This window comes from Homo sapiens, chromosome 22 (genome assembly GCF_000001405.40).
Source record: "Homo sapiens chromosome 22, GRCh38.p14 Primary Assembly".
NCBI lineage: Eukaryota > Metazoa > Chordata > Mammalia > Primates > Hominidae > Homo > Homo sapiens.
In genome coordinates, this window is record NC_000022.11 from 23041921 (window position 1) to 23059726 (window position 17806).

At 42.4% G+C, this 17806-nt stretch overlaps 1 protein-coding gene across 9 annotated transcripts in view, besides 5 other annotated features; it reads right to left on the reverse strand.

Moving 5' to 3' along the window:
* Positions 5378–5878: an enhancer, noted in NCBI's record as "H3K4me1 hESC enhancer chr22:23389476-23389976 (GRCh37/hg19 assembly coordinates)". NCBI's record gives its function as "activates a minimal SCP1, AML or CMV promoter by ChIP-STARR-seq in naive H9 embryonic stem cells {active_cell/tissue: H9 hESC(naive)}" and the evidence as "EXISTENCE:reporter gene assay evidence [ECO:0000049][PMID:30033119]".
* Positions 5879–6379: an enhancer, noted in NCBI's record as "H3K4me1 hESC enhancer chr22:23389977-23390477 (GRCh37/hg19 assembly coordinates)". NCBI's record gives its function as "activates a minimal SCP1, AML or CMV promoter by ChIP-STARR-seq in naive H9 embryonic stem cells {active_cell/tissue: H9 hESC(naive)}" and the evidence as "EXISTENCE:reporter gene assay evidence [ECO:0000049][PMID:30033119]".
* Positions 12520–12659: an enhancer, noted in NCBI's record as "active region_18743". NCBI's record gives its function as "activates an Ori minimal core promoter by ATAC-STARR-seq in GM12878 lymphoblastoid cells {active_cell/tissue: GM12878}" and the evidence as "EXISTENCE:reporter gene assay evidence [ECO:0000049][PMID:35858748]".
* Positions 12670–12719: an enhancer, noted in NCBI's record as "active region_18744". NCBI's record gives its function as "activates an Ori minimal core promoter by ATAC-STARR-seq in GM12878 lymphoblastoid cells {active_cell/tissue: GM12878}" and the evidence as "EXISTENCE:reporter gene assay evidence [ECO:0000049][PMID:35858748]".
* Positions 16867–17368: an enhancer, noted in NCBI's record as "H3K4me1 hESC enhancer chr22:23400965-23401466 (GRCh37/hg19 assembly coordinates)". NCBI's record gives its function as "activates a minimal SCP1, AML or CMV promoter by ChIP-STARR-seq in naive H9 embryonic stem cells {active_cell/tissue: H9 hESC(naive)}" and the evidence as "EXISTENCE:reporter gene assay evidence [ECO:0000049][PMID:30033119]".
* The window catches only part of RSPH14 (radial spoke head 14 homolog), a 121315-nt gene continuing 121003 nt past the window's right edge, over positions 17495–17806 (reverse strand). For all 9 annotated transcript variants that reach the window (XM_017028774.2, NM_014433.3, XM_011530150.2 and 6 more), the window contains one exon: positions 17495–17798. In XM_017028774.2, the coding sequence (XP_016884263.1) occupies positions 17513–17798 (286 nt within the window). In that variant the 3' untranslated portion in view covers positions 17495–17512. The remainder of the gene's footprint in view (positions 17799–17806) is intronic.

Sequence of the window (17806 nt, forward strand, 5' to 3'; positions counted from 1 at the left end):
AGTGTGGATGGCAAGTGCAGTCTTTCTCCAATTTTCTCAGAAAATTCAATCTTCAGGTTCTAGATTGTGAAGATGTTGATTGTCCTGTCAGTGGACCATGAAAAGCTTTCTTTACCTGAAAATACACTTTGGCATAATGACCTACTGTTATATCAGCCCTCTTGCATGCACGAAAAGTTTTTATACGACCAGAAAACATGCACTGGAAATGACAATGGAATGAAATCCCTCTATAAAAATTTAAATGACTCTCCATGTAGCAAAAATGTACCTGAAGTTTTTATTATCTTTCCAGGAATGTGGGTTTGACAAACTAAATATTGGTCATAAACTATTTTAGCAATTTAGAACAGTCATCACATACACATATATATATTTAATTTGAATCATTTTATCTCTTTCACGATTAGTCATGGAATGCAAAGCTTTTAATAACAAAAGCTTTAAGGACTCAGGAAGGATGAGGTGGGCATCCAGGTTCTCCATGAGTCCACACTTAACACTGAACTTACGTCCTCTTACATACCAGCTGTTTCTCCAGTGTAGGTGCATAGCACTGATAACTGATAGGTTATCATAGGTAATTTGACCTGGACCATGGAATTCATTTGAACTGCGTATCTAAACAATTAATTGATTTAGCATAAAAATCTGGCAAAGTACCTTCTTGGTATTCAATTTTTTTCCTGCTTGGGTAGCAGTTTTATAAACCAGTCAGTCTCTTTATTAGAGTTCAGGAATTCTTACCCAGTCCAAATGATTTGATCTGAAAGTTATCAGAAACCTGTATTCGAGAGTGTTTGTCAGGGTCCTTTTCATCCCTTCATGAAACTCCTTAAAGACACCATATTCTAAGACTTTGTGTGCTTGTGAAGTTTTCAGAAACTGCATCAGAATTAAGCAATTAACTGTGGAAATAACTTTAAATGGTCATAGTTAAAGAGACAATTTACAAGGAAATTTGGTTATTTCTGTGGCTTATAATAATTTAACGTAATAACCATAATTATGACTGATAGCATATACCCAAACATTAGAATTCTATAAACGCCATATAATTTTGGAATATATATTAATAACATAGTCACTAAAATATAACTTGAAGAAGGTTAAACATTATTTCTTATTTGACAATGCCTCCCATGTAGTTTAACATGTCAAATAATTCTATTTATCTTTCTTTTGGATGCTTCAGGAGCCTTTTTTATCATCCAAAAGTTAAAGATAAAAAATACTTAATTTTGAAGGTGAAATTTGATTTTGGGAAGCCTGTAAAATATGTCAAAGGTTTAAAACATGTAACCAAATAAGATCACAGGCTACCATAAAATAATAGTCATTTATTTAGCCAAAGTGATAATTAAAAGATTTTTTTAAACCCAAAACCTACACTCTTTGATAGAGGATACTCAGTTTTCCAAACAGTCAAGAGACCTGAGAAAGACCCCATGAGATAGAATCTGTCTCTTCTCTTCTCTCTTTTTTTCCTTTTTGCTGTTTACTTAAAAGATGAACATAAATATTTTACTATGCCTTATTGATACTACACAATATTTTTGTTCAAAAGAGAAAACCAAATTTTACTTTTGTATTAGTGTATTATCAACACTAAAGCTAATTTTTATAAAATCTTATAAAAATTTATCAAATCTGTCATTTTTAACTACACAAGATTTTCATAAGCCTTTTGCTTTACGTTTTCTCCCCAACTTTCTATGTTTATCTGGTTTTATCTATTTTTTACTCCTCAATTTGAAATCTTTAGTAACTTCAAACTAAAAATTTTTAACAAACACATTTTTATGCCTTTAAAACTTCCTAATCAAGGCATAACTTACTTTTGTTTAGATAGTCTTTATACAGAATTGTTTCTCTCATATCTAGTATTTTTAATTACATATATTAACTATAATTTTAACTCTTAATAACCCTAATTTCTAGTGAAAACCACTCCAACCAAAAAGTAATTTTGAACTGTTTTATATTAGTATTTGTAGAAAAAATTACAATTTTTTAGAAAGATGTTTCTTCAAATTACTGTTTATTAACAGATCTAAATATGTTTGGCTTTTCTATACCATGTTAATAAAAATGTCAAGGTATATAGGCTTAAACTCTTGTTTAATAATTAATATTTCAGGTCGGGCAAGGTGGCTCACGCCTGTAATCCCAACACTTTGGGAGGCCGAGGCAGGCAGATTACAAGGTCAGGAGTTTAAGACCAGCCTGGCCAACATAGTGAAATCCTGTCTCTACTAAAAATACAAAAATTAGCCAGGCATGGTGGTGAGTGCCTGTAATCCCAGCTACTCAGGAGGCTGAGGAGGGAGAATTGCTTGAACCCAGTAGGCAGAGGTTGCAGTGAGCCAAGACCACACCATTGCACTCCAGCCTGGGTGACAGAGTGAGACTCTCTCAAAAAATAATAATAATAATTAATATTTCAGTATTTTAAGTAATAAATGACTCAGACATTTTGTGATTATCTGTTACTTTGGCATAACATGACTTTAAGATTTTTAATTACTAAAAAGAATTTTGAAACTATAACCCAAGTACCATCCCTAATTGTTGTAGAACTCTTAGTTCAGCTAAAGATGGGGGTCCTTGTCACACGGCCACAAAAAAATTAGGCTCATAGACAATTTGAAGGATGAGGATGGCAGGGTTTATTGAGTGAAAAGGAAAAAAGATAAACAGGGATTCTCCACAAAGCCAGAGTTCTGCTAGTGTGCTTCCCACCTCACAAACTGAATCCCAGGTACCACCCAGGAAGAGGAGGGGCCAGGCTCCTCCCCACTGCAAATGGCACGAACTTCTGTGGCTCTCATAACATCTCCCCCAGGTCATCTGGGGTCTCAAGTAACCATGTAGTACCAAGGAGGACTATGAAGGTCAGGGCCTGTCTGAGTCCTGAATTTACATACCAGGTGTAGAGGCCAGGACAGAAGACAGCTGTAAAGACTGTGCCTAGAGGATCCAACCCCTTTCCAAAATAGCCAGTAGGCAAGTAGGGAAAGCAGGGAAGAAGGGTCACATTTGGCTTGATTCTGACTTGTAGCTGCTGGTCTGGGAACTGAGAACATGTCTCCAGACCTCATCATGGACACTTATTCACATCCCTAAATCCAGAGGCTCTAAACCAAAAAAAAACATAAGTTCACAGTCAAGTCAAGCAGGTATCTAATTATATTTAACTGATAATTGTGAACTCATTCCTGTTTCGCCAAAAATAAACCAGCTTTATTTATCAAATATTATCACATACACATAACACATATAGACATACAAACACACAAAGGCAGATCTTATAGCTTCCATAAAGGATTTTTATTTGACAGATTTCAAATAGTTTTTCTTTCCCCCATACAGACTATAAATCTTCCAGTTATCTGTTTCACTGCCCTAAGCAATTGTTAACTAGGCAACAAATTTGCATTTCTAAAGGGACAGCTCTTACATGAAACAAAAAAAAATTATATTTCATAAGCACAGAGCTAAGATTTTAGGCATAAATATTGTATCATCATTTGCTCAAATCGAGGGAAAAAATGGTACATAAGTGAAAGTTGATCAAGATAAAGTGGCCAGAAAAGCACCTTAAGCAAAGGCATGACTTATTATGTAAATTTAAAACAACGGCAAGAGTTTCTATTGTACATAGGCAGACTCCCTTACAAATGGAGGTTTCCTTTATAGATGTAAATTTCTTTTACAAAAGGCTTTTAAGATTGCCACTTCAATTCCAGAAAGGTGTATTTTAGTTCAGTTGGTGTTCTTTTTAACTTATCTACTGTTTCTTAGCTAAAATTACTAAATTCAGGGTGGAGCCTCTTAAGGAATAGGGCAAAGAGAGCATTCTGTATGCCTGGACTTAGCATGAATAGATCTGAAAAAGAAGCAAGGCTATTTTAACTGAGGGTCTACCTTTTATAAATACTTTATCTAGGATATCTTTCATTTCACCTTTGGGGCAGCATAGCAACTAAGCCAAAAGGTTAGCAGATTTAATTTTTCGTATCTATTAGTAACTTAAGCTTTTTATTTGCCTTTTTAAAAGTCTTTAAATAAAAATATTGCAATCTTTTTAGAAGCTTCTGCATATCAATAGACATCCCTAGATGAGACTATATTGGGAGACCTCATTTTCAAATGCACTTCTTCAAGTGCAGGGTTGTTCATTTGGAACATTTCACTGTAACTTTAAATTATCTTTAGTAAGATTTTGCCATTTCTGTAGTCCCAGCTACTCGGGAGGCTGAGGCAGAAGAATGACGTGAACCTGGGAGGCGGAGCTTGCAGTGAGCCAAGATTGCACTACTGCACTCCAGCCTGGGCGACAAAGCAAGACTCTGTCTAGCAAAAAAAAAAAAAAAAAAAAAAAAATGCCATTTCTGTAAGCCTTTGCTACTACTAGCACCCTCTAGGGCCTAATACTGATACACAGATTAGCCAGAAGGTACTCAGCTCTTTAGAAATAAAGGATCCCATTTTTACCTCAAATATTGACTTTGGCTCTCAGGTCCCCTCAAGCAACTATGTCAGTGATTTTTTTCCATACCTAAGTGTACAGGAAAAAAGAAACAAAGGAAGTAGAAAACACAAAAATCCCTGTGGACTTCCAAAAGCCAAAGTTTACACCCCCTGCAATATTGCCATCTGCTACTGGTTTCTTTCTGACCCAGTCAGACAAAAGAGGCCCCTAACTGTATCCAAGCCAGTTAATTATCAGATACAATCCAATTGTAGACTCAGTTCAGTTTCTGTCAGAACTTCCAAACCCAGTGTTGATCAAAAATTTGCTCAAACAAACTCAGAGAACTCAAATCTCTGAGCAAATCTGTGGAGCCTCACAATCTGAGGGAGAACTTACCAAGATCCCCAGTTGCTGTGAGAGAGCAATGGAAACAACAGGCACAGTGGGTAACTTGCTTGCTCACTTGGCACTTTGGGGGTTACTAGAAGTTCTAGCTCAGATCCCACTTCTGACACCATCTGTTAAAAGAAAAACCTTAGCCAAATTAAATTTAACAGAGTTTATGGGTTTTTTTTCCTGAGGATCAAGGCAGACAGGAGGAAGAACTAGATAGCAGCTTTCACTCAAACGGACCAGAGCAGCATGTGGAGTCTCTAGAACTATTGCAAGAATAATTCAGGAAAGCCAAGAGAACCCACAGACCCTCTTAAGGAAGTGGATTGCTCCTGCAGGACCTGGGAGACACCCCAATTACCGTGAGTGCCCAAACTGTGGGAGTGAGAAAGGGAGATTATCTGGCCCTGAATACACACCCTCACTGGGGAACCTGAAGTCTAGATCACAGGAGAAGATTCTGACAATACCTGGAGCTGAGTCAATTTAGAGAGCCGAGGGAAATACGGGGGTAGGGGAAGCAGTGGGAAAAGCTCTGTGGGCTCTCTGGGTTCCCAGCGAAGCCATTTCTGAGTTGTCTCACAGGGTTACCTGGAGAGGGCTGCCAGAGGAACTGGGAAAAGGCCACAGAGAGAAGGAAACCTCCAGCTGAACTTTGCAACAATTCCAACCAAACAGGAAGTCTCCTGGCCAGAACTCAGGGGAGGGCGCCAATCCAGTGTGCAGACTCCACAGACAGGGAAGCCTAAAAGCCCTACTTGCTTTCGCAGCTGGGGGCTGGTAGCCTGGGGAAAGTTCTTGGCCCTGCTCGCAGACTGCGTGGAAACAGACTCAGTGCTGTTGTGGGGTGGGGCACGGTGAGAGTGAGACCAGCCTTCTGGGTTTCATGGGAGCTGGGTGAGGCCTGTGACTTCCAGCTTTCCCCCACTTCTCTGACAACCTGCATGATACAGCAAAGGCAGCTACAATTCTCCTAGGAGCATAACTCCATTGACCTGGGAACCTCACTCCCATCCCCCACAGCAGCCGTAGCAAGATCTGCCCAAAGAGAGTCTGAGCTCAGACATGCCTAGCCCTGCCCTCGCCTGATGGTCCTTCCCTACCCACCCTGGTAGCTGAAGACAAAGGGCATATACGCTTTGGAGTTCGAAGGCCCCACGGCCCCACCCACCACCTGATCCTCCCCATACTACCACAGCTGATGCTGTCTTGAAAGTGTCACCTCCCAGCAGGAGGCCAATCAGCACAAAAATAGTGCATTAAACAACCAAAACTAAGGACCCTCACAGAGTCCATATCGCCCCACTGGCACCTCCACCAGAGCAGGTGCTGGTATCCACAAAAAGAGACCCACAGATGGTTCACATCACAGAACTCTGTGCAGACAACCTCCAGTACTAGACAGGAACCTGGTAGACCTGCTGGGTGGCTAGATCCTGAAGGGAGACAAGAATCACTACAGTATGGCTCTCAGGAAATCACATCCCTAGGAAAAGGGGGAGAGTACTACGTCAAGGTAACACTTTGTGGGATAAAAGAATCTGAACAACAGCCTTGACCACTAGACCTTCCCTCTGACAGAGCCTACCCAAATGAGAAGGAACCAGAAAAGCAACTCTGGTAATATGACAAAACAAGTTCTTTAACACCCCCCAAAAAATCACACTAGCTCATCAGCAGTGGATCCAAACCAAGAAATCCCCAATCTGCCTGAAAAAGGTGTCAGCGAAACTAAGCTTCATAAATGAAGGAAAGACCGTCTTTTTCAGACAAACAAATGCTGAGAGAATTTGCCACTACCAAGCCAGCCCTACAAGAACTGCTAAAAGGAGCTCTATATCTTGAAACAAATCCTGGAAACACATCAAAATAAAACCTCTTTAAAGCATAAATCTCATAGGACCTATAAAACAAAAATACAAATAAAAAGCAAAAAAACCAAGGTATGCAGGCAACAAATAGCACAATGAATGGAATAGTACCTCACATCTCAAAACTAATGTTGAATTTAAATGGCCTAAATGTTCCATTTAAAAGATACAGAATCACAGAATGGGTAAGAATTCACCAACAAACTATCTGTGGCTTTCAAGAGACTCACCTAACACATAAGGATTCACATAAACTTAAGATAAAGGGGTGGAAAAAGACATTCCATGCAAATGGACACCAAAAGCAAGCAGGAGCAGCTATTCTCATATCAGACAAAACAAACTTTAAAGCAACAGCAGTTTAAAAACACAAAGAGACACATTATATAATGATAAAAGGCCTTATTCAACAGGAAAATATTACAATCCTAAATACATGTGCACCTAATACTGGAGGTCCCAAATTTATAAAACAATTACTACCAGACCTAAGAAATGAGACAGACAGCAACATAATAATAGTGGGGGGCTTCAATATTCCACTAACAGCACTAGACAGGTCATCAAGACAGAAAGCCAATAAAGAAACAATAGATTTAAACTATACCCTGGAACAAATGGACTTAACAGATATTTACAGAACATTCTACCCAACAACCACAGAATATACATTCTATTCATCAGCACATGAAATTTTCTTCAAGATAGACCATATGATAGGCCACCAAACAAGCCTCAATAACTTTAAGAAAACTGAAATTATATCAAGCACTCTCTCGGACCACAGTGGAATAAAACTGGAAATCAACTCCCAACGGAACCTTCAAAACCATGCAAATACATGGAAATTAAATAACCTGCCCTTGAATGATCATTGGGTCAACAATGAAATCAAGGTGGAAATTTAAAAATTCTTTGAACTGAATGACAACAGTGAACAACCTATCAAAACCTCCGGGATACAGCAAAGGCACTGCTAAGAGGAAAATTCATAGCCCTAAATGTCTATATTGAAAAATCTGAAAGAGCACAGACAATCTAAGGTCACACCACAGGAACTACAGAAACAAGAAAAAACCAAACCCAAACCCAGCAGAAGAAAGGAAATAACCAAGATCAGAGCAGAACTAAATAAAATTGAAACAAAAATATTCAAAAGATAAATAAAAAAGCTGGTTCTTTGAAAAGATAAATAAAATTGATAGACCATTAGCAAGATTAACCAAGAAAAGAAGAGAGAAAATCCAAATAAGCTCAATTAGAAACGAAATGGGAGAAATTACAACTGACACCACAGAAATACAAAAGATCATTCAAGGCTACTATGAACACCTTTACATGCATAAACTAGAAAACCTAGAGGAGATGGATAAATTCCTGGAATGATACAACCCTCCTAGCTTAAATCAGGAAGAATTAGATAGCATGAGCAGACCAATAACAACAGCGAGATTGAAATGGTAATTTAAAAATTACCAACCAAAAAAAGTCCAGGGCCAGATGGATTCACAGCTGAATTCTATCAGACATTCAAAGAAGAGTTGGTACCATCCTATTGACACTATTCCACAAGATAAAGAGAGAATCCTCCCTAAATCATTCTATGAATCCAGTATCACCCTAATACCAAAACCAAGAAAGAATGTAACCAAAAAAGAAAACTACAGACCAACATCCCTGATGTACATAGATGCAAAAATCCTTAACAAAATACTAGCTAACTGAATCCAATGACATTTCAAAAGGATAATTCACCATGATCAAGTGGGCTCCATACCAGGGATGCAGGGATGATTTAACATACGCAAGTGAATAAATGTGATACACCACATAAACAGAGTTAAAAACAAAAATCACATGATTATCTCAATAGATGCAGAAAAAGCATTCAACAAAATCTAGTATCCCTTTATGATTAAAACTCTCAGCAAAATCGGCATGCAAGGGACATGCCTCAATGTAATAAAAGCCATCTCTGACAAACCCACAGCCAGCATAATACTGAATGGGGAAAAGTTTAAAACATTCCCTCTGAGAACTGGAACAAGACAAGGATGCCACTCTCACCACTTCCCTTTAACATAGTACTGGGAGTCCTAGCCACAGCAATCAGATGAGAGAAAGAAATAAAGGGCATCCACATCAGTAAAGAGGAAGTCAAACTGTCACTGTTTGCTGATGATATGACTGTATACCTAGAAAACCCTAAAGACTCCTCCAAAAAGCTCCTAGAACTGAAAAAAGAATTCAACAAAGTTTCTGGATACAAAATTAATGCACACAAATCAGTAGCTCTCCTATATACCAACAGCAACCAAGCTGAAAATCAGATCAAGAACTCAACCCATTTTACAATAGCTGCAAACAAATGAAATACTTAGGAATATACCTAACCAAGAATGTAAAAGACCTCTACAAGGAAAACTACAAAACAGTGCTGAAAGAAATCATAGATGACACAAATGGAAACACATTCCATGCTCATGGATGGGTAGAATCAATATTGTGAAAATGACCGTACTGCCAAAAGCAATCTACAAATTCAATGAAATTCCCATCAAAATACTAGCATCATTCTTCACAGAACTAGAAAAAACAATCCTAAGACTCATATGAAACAAAAAAAGAGCCCACATAGCCAAAGCAAGACTAAGCAAAAAGGACAAGTCTGGAGGCATCACATTACCTGATTTCAAACTATACTATAAGGTCACAGTCACCAAAACAGCATGGCACTGGTATAAAAATAGGCACACAGAACAATGGAACAGAATAGAAAACCCAGAAATAAACCCAAATACTTATCTTTGACAAAGCAAACAAATACATAAAGTGGGAAAAGGACACCCTATTCAACTAATGGTGCTGGGATAATTGGCAAGCCACATGTAGGAAGATGAAACTGGATTCTCATCTCTCACCTTACACAAAAATCAACTCAAGATGGATCAAGGACTTAAATCTAAGACCTGAAACTGTAAAAATTCTAGAAGATAAAATCAGAAAACCCCTTCTACACCTTGGCTTAGGCAAGGATTTCATGACCAAGAACCCAAAAGCAAATTCAATAAAAACAAAGATAAATAGCTGGGACTTAATTAAACTAAAGAGCTTTTGCACAGCAAAAGCAACAGTCAGCAGAGTAAAGAGACAACTCACAGAGTGGGAGAAAATCTTCACAATCTATACATCTGACAAAGAACAAGTATCCAGAATCTACAGCAAACTCAAACAAATTAACAAGAAAACACAATCCCATCAAAAAGTGGGCTAAGGACATGAATAGAAAATTCTCAAAAGAAGATACACAAATGGCCAACAAACACATGAAAAAATGCTCAACATCACTATGATCAGGGAAATGAAAATCAAAACCACAATGTGATACCACCTTACTCCTGCAAGAATGGCTGTAATAAAAAAAATCAAAAAATAATATATGTTGGTGTGGATGCAGTGAACAGGGAACACTTCTACACTGCTGGTGGGAATGTAAACTAGTACAGCCACTATGGAAAACAGTGTGGAGATTCCTTAAAGAACTAAAAGTAGAACTACCATTTGATCCAGCAATCCCACTACTGGGTATGTACCCAGAGAAAAATCAGCCATTATACAAAAAAGATATTTGCACATGCATGTTTATAGCAGCACAATTCGCAACTGCAAAAATGTGGAACCAACCCAAATGCCCATCAATGAGTGGATAAAGAAACTGTGGTTTATACATACAATGCAATACTACTCAGCCATAAAAAAGGAATGAATTAATGGCATTCGCAGCAACATGGATGAGAATGGAGACTGCTATTCTAAGTGAAGTAACTCAGGAATGGAAAACCAAAATTGTATGTTCTCACTCATAAGTGGAGCTAAACTATGAGGATGCAAAGGCATAAGAATGACACAATGGACTTTGGGGATTCTGCGGGAAAGGGTGGGAAGGGGATGAGGGAAAAAAGACTACAAATTGAGTGCAGTGTATACTGCTCAGGTGATGGGTGCACTAAAATCTCACAAATCATCGCTAAAGAACTTACTCATATAACCAAACACCACCTGTTCCCCAATAACCTATGGAAATAAAAAAATTAAAAATAAATTAAAAACAAATTAAATTTAACAGAGTTTAATTGAGCAAAGAACAATTCATGAATCAGGCAGCCTCCTGAGCCAGAATAGGCTCAGGGAGACTCCAGTACAACCACATGGTGGAAGAAGATTTATGGACAGAAAAAAGAAAGTGGCATACAGAAAACAAAAGTGAGGTAAAGAAATGGCCAGGTTGGGTACAGCCTAGCATTTGCCTTATTTGAACATGGTTTGAACAATTGGCCCCCTTTAACTGGACAAAACTCAGTGGTTGGCACAAGAGTAGGTTACAGTCTGTTTACACCTCCATTTAGGTTATAGTTCATTATGTAGAGAAACTTTTAAGACAACGTTAAAATATGTAAGGAGGCAACTTTAGGTTAAACTTCATTTAACTGCTGTGTGGGATGGCATTTGTGCCTTTGGGCTGTGGGGTTGAATGACCAGCTGCTTTTTCCAGACTGGCTCCCACACCTCTTCGGTCCCAGAGGCTGATAATGGTATAATTAATGGGCATTTGAGAATAGAGGCAAGGATGTGGTCCTCAGGACTTCTCAGTCCCAGCATAGGCTATCTGTGTTCCTGCCCCTCCCCTTGTAACAGAGGCTCCTCTGTCCCTGTCTGATGAGTTCCTTCATTTCTGCTTCCTCCTCAGCCTCTGCTGCAGGGGTGGGAACACAGGAGACACTGGCATGGAGGCTGCCCAGCAGGATGACACCCAGAAGACGTCACAATGCACACTGCTGGGAGCCTGATCTGAATGAACACAGGGTCGTCTCATCTTCCAGGAGGGAATGATTCCCAGGAGCTGACCATGGTACTAAGCCAGGTAAGCAGGCCTCAGGGGACAGGCCAGCGCTGCATGGACATCTGGGTGATGTTCAAGCCCCTCAGTTAGGTGTTTCCCCTAGTTTGGCCTAGAGAAGTGAATGGCAACCTCCCTGTGATTTCTAGGCTCTCCTCCTGGACAGCACCAAAAATGTGCCTTCAAGGGCCCCAGGACAGCCTTACTGTGGGCCAAGTGCAGTGAAACTGGGAGTTGCCTCGAGAAGACACTCCCCAAGAGATTGCCAAAGAGAATGGTGCCTATTTCCATGACTCAAAGGGCTTCCTCTGTCCTCCAAAGAGCGGTGTTTGGAGCGTAGAGGTGAAATGTTCAGAGGATCAGGGACCATCTGCCCTAGACCCATAGGGACAGAGAAGGGTGAGCAATTACTGCAGCACCCCAGGGAGGGTCAAGTTCTTGTAACACCACCTCCGCCGGCCAGTTACAGGGATCTGGGCATGCTAAGGTCAGTTCTTTCTTATTAAGAGTAAGCCCATGGGTCTTCACACTGGACTCGTGGAGGCTGAGATGTTGTGAGTCCCTACACAGGCTTCCCTCCTGTGCCATGGCCTGCCTGCCTCCTGACCTTTGCCTATTCCCTCTGTTCTAGATGTAGGCAAGGAGACCAAGAGCTGCACCTGGATGATCTGGGACATGTTCTGTGGACTGGAGTCAGGAGGGCCCCAAAGTGGCCCCAGCAAAGGCAACAGAGGAGGTAGAGCATGGTGACACGTTGCAAAGTGCAAAGGCGCTGGCCCTGGGAGAGGCAACTGAGAAAGTAGAGGTTGCTGAGAAGACGGAAGGTACAGAGTGGGGCAACATGTCAGACAATCCCTACTGGAGGAGAGTTGTGGGCATCAGTGGGATCATCCTGATCATGCTCAAGGTCCTTGGCGTCATCTACTTTGCCTGAAGCAGCTGGGCTGGGGCCGTCCAGGAGGAGGCAGAGCTGCTGCTTCTCCAGGATCATCATGAACAGGGACAAAGCGTTTCCTACTGGGAGACCCATGGGCCTGGGACCAAGGATTACATTAATAAAAATGTTCCCTTGGTGTCATGCATCAAGGGCTACCAGCAGCAGCACACACATGCCGTGTGGCAGGACAGAGCAAAGTCCATTCGCCATTACAGAAAGTATGCAAATGAGAACATCTGTTCCTTTACAAAATGAGTCATTTTCTCCAAATGGCTGCACTGCATAAACACTTTCACTTTAAATTTAATTTTGGCTTTTCATCTCTATATATATTTGGAATTTTTGCTTGTGTTTACTTCACTGTCACCAATTCTTTCATGTACCCAACTTCCATTGCTTGGTTCTCTCCTTATTTTCCAAGGTATGTCCCTGCTGGCCAAGATGCCGAGTTGTGGAAGCCCCACCCCACCCCTGCAAGGGAATCTCACCTGTAGGTGCTCTCCAGCACTGATGACCACACAGGCCATGGGGAAACAGGTGCCAGGGATGGAAGCTTTGGCCCCTGCCTGAACCTCAGTGGGACTGAGGCAGGCTCTGCTTTAATAGAACAGGCCTCCCCACCACTCAACTCTGTTTAGCTTCTGCTGTGCTGCATCCCTTGAGGGCAGATTAAGAAGAAACTCCCTCCAGGCCAGCTCTCCCCAGTCACACTCACAGCCTGCCTGGCATCGTGACATTCTTGGGAGTTGGCCCCCTAGGTTAGATCCACTTGAGCTATCAGATAGAGGACACTCCTCAGCCGTGTTTCCATAGGGGTTCCCTAAACCTCTCCTTCACTTTTCTTCTTCCCAGTCCAAAATAAATGATTTGTGTCTTTAGGAAAAGTTCCAGGTGCCTTGAAGTTATTTCATCATGAGAATCACGCTCTGAAGGTATATTCACATGACCAGCCCTCATCCTTTCTCTAATCCTTCAGCTGACACTTTTGAGTGTCTAATATGTGCCAGCCACCATGTCGAGCTCGAAGAAAATAACCGTGAACAAAGCACAGGGGAACTTCTCTCTGGAGTATATGGTGTATGGTGGAAAATAAGCAATCACAGCAATAGCCAGCATTTCATGTGTCCTGCTGTCTTCAGGCAAGCCCAGGGTAAGTGCATTATCATATTCAAGCCACAGAACCACCCTTGTGGAGGGACAAGAATTAGCCACGTTTCACAGGATGCAGTGTGTGCACTGCAAGAGAATCCAGCAGAAACCTCCATCTAGCCTCAGAGTCAGGGAAAGAGGGAATCAGTTGGATGGATAACAGAAGGGACATGTGTGAGAAGACATGCAGCAAGAGTACAAGGTATGTTTGAGGATGCTGAGATACGGCATGTGCATGGAGAACAGTGGGAGGGAGGGAGTCGGAAGCCTGACCAGCAGGCCTTGTATGCTTTGGGGGCCTACGTCCCTGGAAGTGTAGGCAAGGAAGTGATAGGATCAGATTTGCTTCCTGCTGCTGGGAAGATAAAAGTGAGACAGGAACACCCACCAGGACACTGCTAGAGCAAAGCAGGCAAGTTGGTGGCAGAGAGGTAAAGAGGTGGAGACCTTTGGAGGGAGGGGCCAGGGATGACTCTCTGGCTGGAGCAGGTGAATGAAGGGGGCACCTGCTTCATTCAATGAAGGTGAATGAAGAGTAAGTGCAGGTATGGGGAAAAGATGAACTCATTTCTGATATGTAGAATTTGAGCTGCATGAAGATGTTTATTGCCATGTTGATAATATTAAGTCTTCTAATCCATGAACATGGGATGTCTTTCCATATATTTAAGTCTTCAACATCTTTCAACACTATTTTGTTTTCAGTGTACAAATCTCACACTCCTTTTGCTAAATTTATTTCTGAGTATTTTATTCTTTTTGATGTTATTGTAAATGAAACTGTTTTCTCAATTTTGTTTTTGGATGGTTCATTGCTAGTATTTGGGAATACAATTAATTTTTGTATATTGATTTTGTATCCTGCAACCATGTTGAACTTATTCATTAGTTCTAATCATTTTTAAGTGTACTTCCTTGGGAGTTTTCTTATACAAAATCATGTAATCTGTGAATACAGAATTTACCTTTATTTATTTGCAATCTGTATGCTCTTTCTTTTTCTTGCCTAACTGCCTAACTAGAACCTCCAGTACAATGCTGTATAGAGAGGTCTTGTTTCTGATATCAGGGGAAAGCAATCAGGTTTTGCTATTAAATATAATGTCAGCTGAGTTTTTGCAGATGTTCTTTATTATGTTGAGGAAACTACCCTCTTTTCCTAGTTTTCTGAGAGTTTGTTTTTCATCATGAATGGGTGTTGAACTTTGTGGAATGCTTTTTCTGCATCTATTAAGATGATTATGTGACTTTTGTCCTTTATTCTACCTATATCTTATATTACATTAATTGATTTTCATATGCTAAACCAACCTTGCATTCCTGGGGTAAATCCCAGCTGGTCATGCTGTATAATGCTTTTTATATGCTGCTGAATTTGGTTTGCTAATATTTGGTTGTGTCTTTGTTTCTATAATCATAACAAATATTGGTCTGCAGTTTTCTTTTGATATCTTTGAGTGGTTTTTGTTTGTTTGGCTGGTGTGCAGTGGTGTGATCTCAGGTCACTGCAGCCTTGACCTCCCATGCTCAGGTGATTCTCCTGCTTCAGCCTCCCAAGTAACTGGGACTACAGGCACGCACCACCACACCAGGCTAATTTTGTGTTTTTTGTAGAGACATTGGAATGACAGGCATGAGCCATCGTGCCCAGCTGATATCTTTGGTTTTGGTATCAGGGTAGTATTACACTCATAGAATGAGTTGGGAGATATTTCTTCCTCTTCTATTTTTTGGAACAGTTTGTGAAAGATTGGTATTAATTCTTGCCTGGAGACATTTAAGGGTAGATGTTAAGTTGAACATAAGAATCCAGAACTCAGGAGAGAGGCTGGGGCTGGAGTCCCAGATCTGGGGGAGACAGGGGAGAGAGATCAGGCCCAGCTCAGAAGGGAACCTGGTAGAGAAAGCCCAAAGCCAGGCGGATGAGATTGCACAGGGAAAGTGGGAGAAGAGAGAGCCTAGAACAGAGGCATGAGAAGCATCAGCACCACTAGCCATGTAAAGAAAGAGGGTTCTACAGAGGAGACCAAGAGCACAGGGTCTTGCAGCAGGGAGTTTGATGATCTTGGCCAGAGCCTGTGGAAGGGGTAGAGCCAGCCTGCTGTGTTAAGGCAGGACTGGAACATGAGGAAATGGACATGAGGAAATGTTTCCTGAAGGAGAAAAGGTTTCCTCTTAGGGGGCCTTTTTTAAAGTTTTATTTTGAGACAGAGTCTCACTCTGTCACCCAGGCTGGAGTGCAGTGGCATGATCTCAGCTCACTGCAACCTCCACCTCCTAGGCTTAAGTGATTATCGTGCTTCAGTCTCCCAAGTAGCTGGGAATACAGGCGTGCACCATCATGTCCAGCTAATTTTTGTATTTTTAGTAGAGAGGGGGTTTTGTCATGTTGGCCAGGCTGGTCTTGAACTCCTGGCCTTGAGTGATCTGCCCACCTCAGCCTCCCAAAGTGCTGGAATTACAGGAATGAGCCACTGCACCCGGCCCTCTTAGGGGCAGCTTTTTTGAGAATGGGGATGAACCTGAAACCCCAGCTGGGCCCAGCTGCCTGTCCCTTCCACAACAAGAGGCCCTACTTGGATTCATCCTGTGATTCCAAGGACAATAACTTCCCTGTGTTTCTTCTGGGAAAGTGAGGGCCCCTGGGGCTCACTGAAAGGACTGCAAGAAGGGGCTCCCTTTGAGATTCTGGCTTTGCTGAAAGGTTTATTCTGGGAGGAGTGGGCACCTCACAGGAAATATGACTGCCAAGGGGTGATGTGAATGAGGGAAACCTTCGAGAGAGAGAGAGCCTCAGAAAGCTCCTGGAGAAAGAGTAAGGCTCCAGCTCAGACCCAGATGAAAGGGCCCAGCCCGGAAGCTGAGTTCTGCTCTAGCATCTCCTCCAACAGAGGCCAGGACAGGCTGCTTCTCCCCCGAAACGAGGAGATCCATTGCCTCACTAGACCATGCAGAGATGAGTAGGAGGAGATTAAGGAGCTCTCCCAGTCACTCCCCAACCTCAGCCCCATGCCCCATAGCCCCCTGAAGCTGGGCTTCTCCCCTCCTCCACCTCTCAGCCCACCTCTCTCTCCTTGCCTAAGCTCCCAGCCTGCTTGTCACCTTCACTGCAGGGAAGGAGCCCAGATGAAGGCACAGGCAGAAGAGGGCTGCCCTGGGGGCCACATACACCCAAAGGGAGAGAATGGAGGGTGGGATGGGCTTCAGGCCAACCTGGGGGCGTGCTTGAGTGACTTCCTTGCTTTGGAGAAGAATGCGGCTGTTTGGGGTAAGACGTTAACGAGGAAACCAGAATCTACCCCTGTCCTGAGCACTCATCCCTGGGGGAGCCTCTATGACTGAGTCACCTTCTCCACGAAGAACCTGCATGGGGTTTCACCTATCACCTTCCTTCCCATCACCCAGGGTGGGGAAGGGACAGACCTGGCTGAGCAGAGCCACACCCAGCCACACCCCAGGGGTCAATCACTGGATCTTCTGAAACCTGGGTGGTGCCTGGCGCATCTGGGTTCCTTCCTTCCCCAGCCCAAGTCCCTGCCCCCAGCCTTGTCTCTGGAGGGCTCAGCCCTACTCTCTACCTTCTGAGGGGAACTCTTGGCCCCAGGAGAGAGAGCACAACTCCAAGGCCACCTCCCACCCATTCCCCGCACTGGGTTCAGCCTGTGCCACCCAGACCCGGTGCTTCTGGGCCTCGCATTTCCCCTCTGGCAGGAGAGCAAGAAAAGATGTGACTGTGCTCCAGGAACAGAAAGTGCCATTCGGACCCGAGATAAAGAGACTTAGCACATTTATTCACTCACAGAGGTGAATGAAGGGCTCAGGGTTTGAACTCGATGACACTGATGGCGATCCGGGCTGCCCGCTGTAAGGCTTCGGCCACTTGAGGCTTTTCGTAAGTCTCCACCTCCATGGCACGGAAAGTGGGCACGTGCGTCTGCAGGGCCTTGCGGCCCTCGGGGGCCTCTGCCAGCATGGTAAGGGCCTTGGTGGCATTCAGGCGCGCTATGGTCATGGGGGAGTGCAGCAGCTCCAGGAGCAGGCCGATGGCTTGTGCCTCCAGGGCCGCATACTTCCCTGCAGGC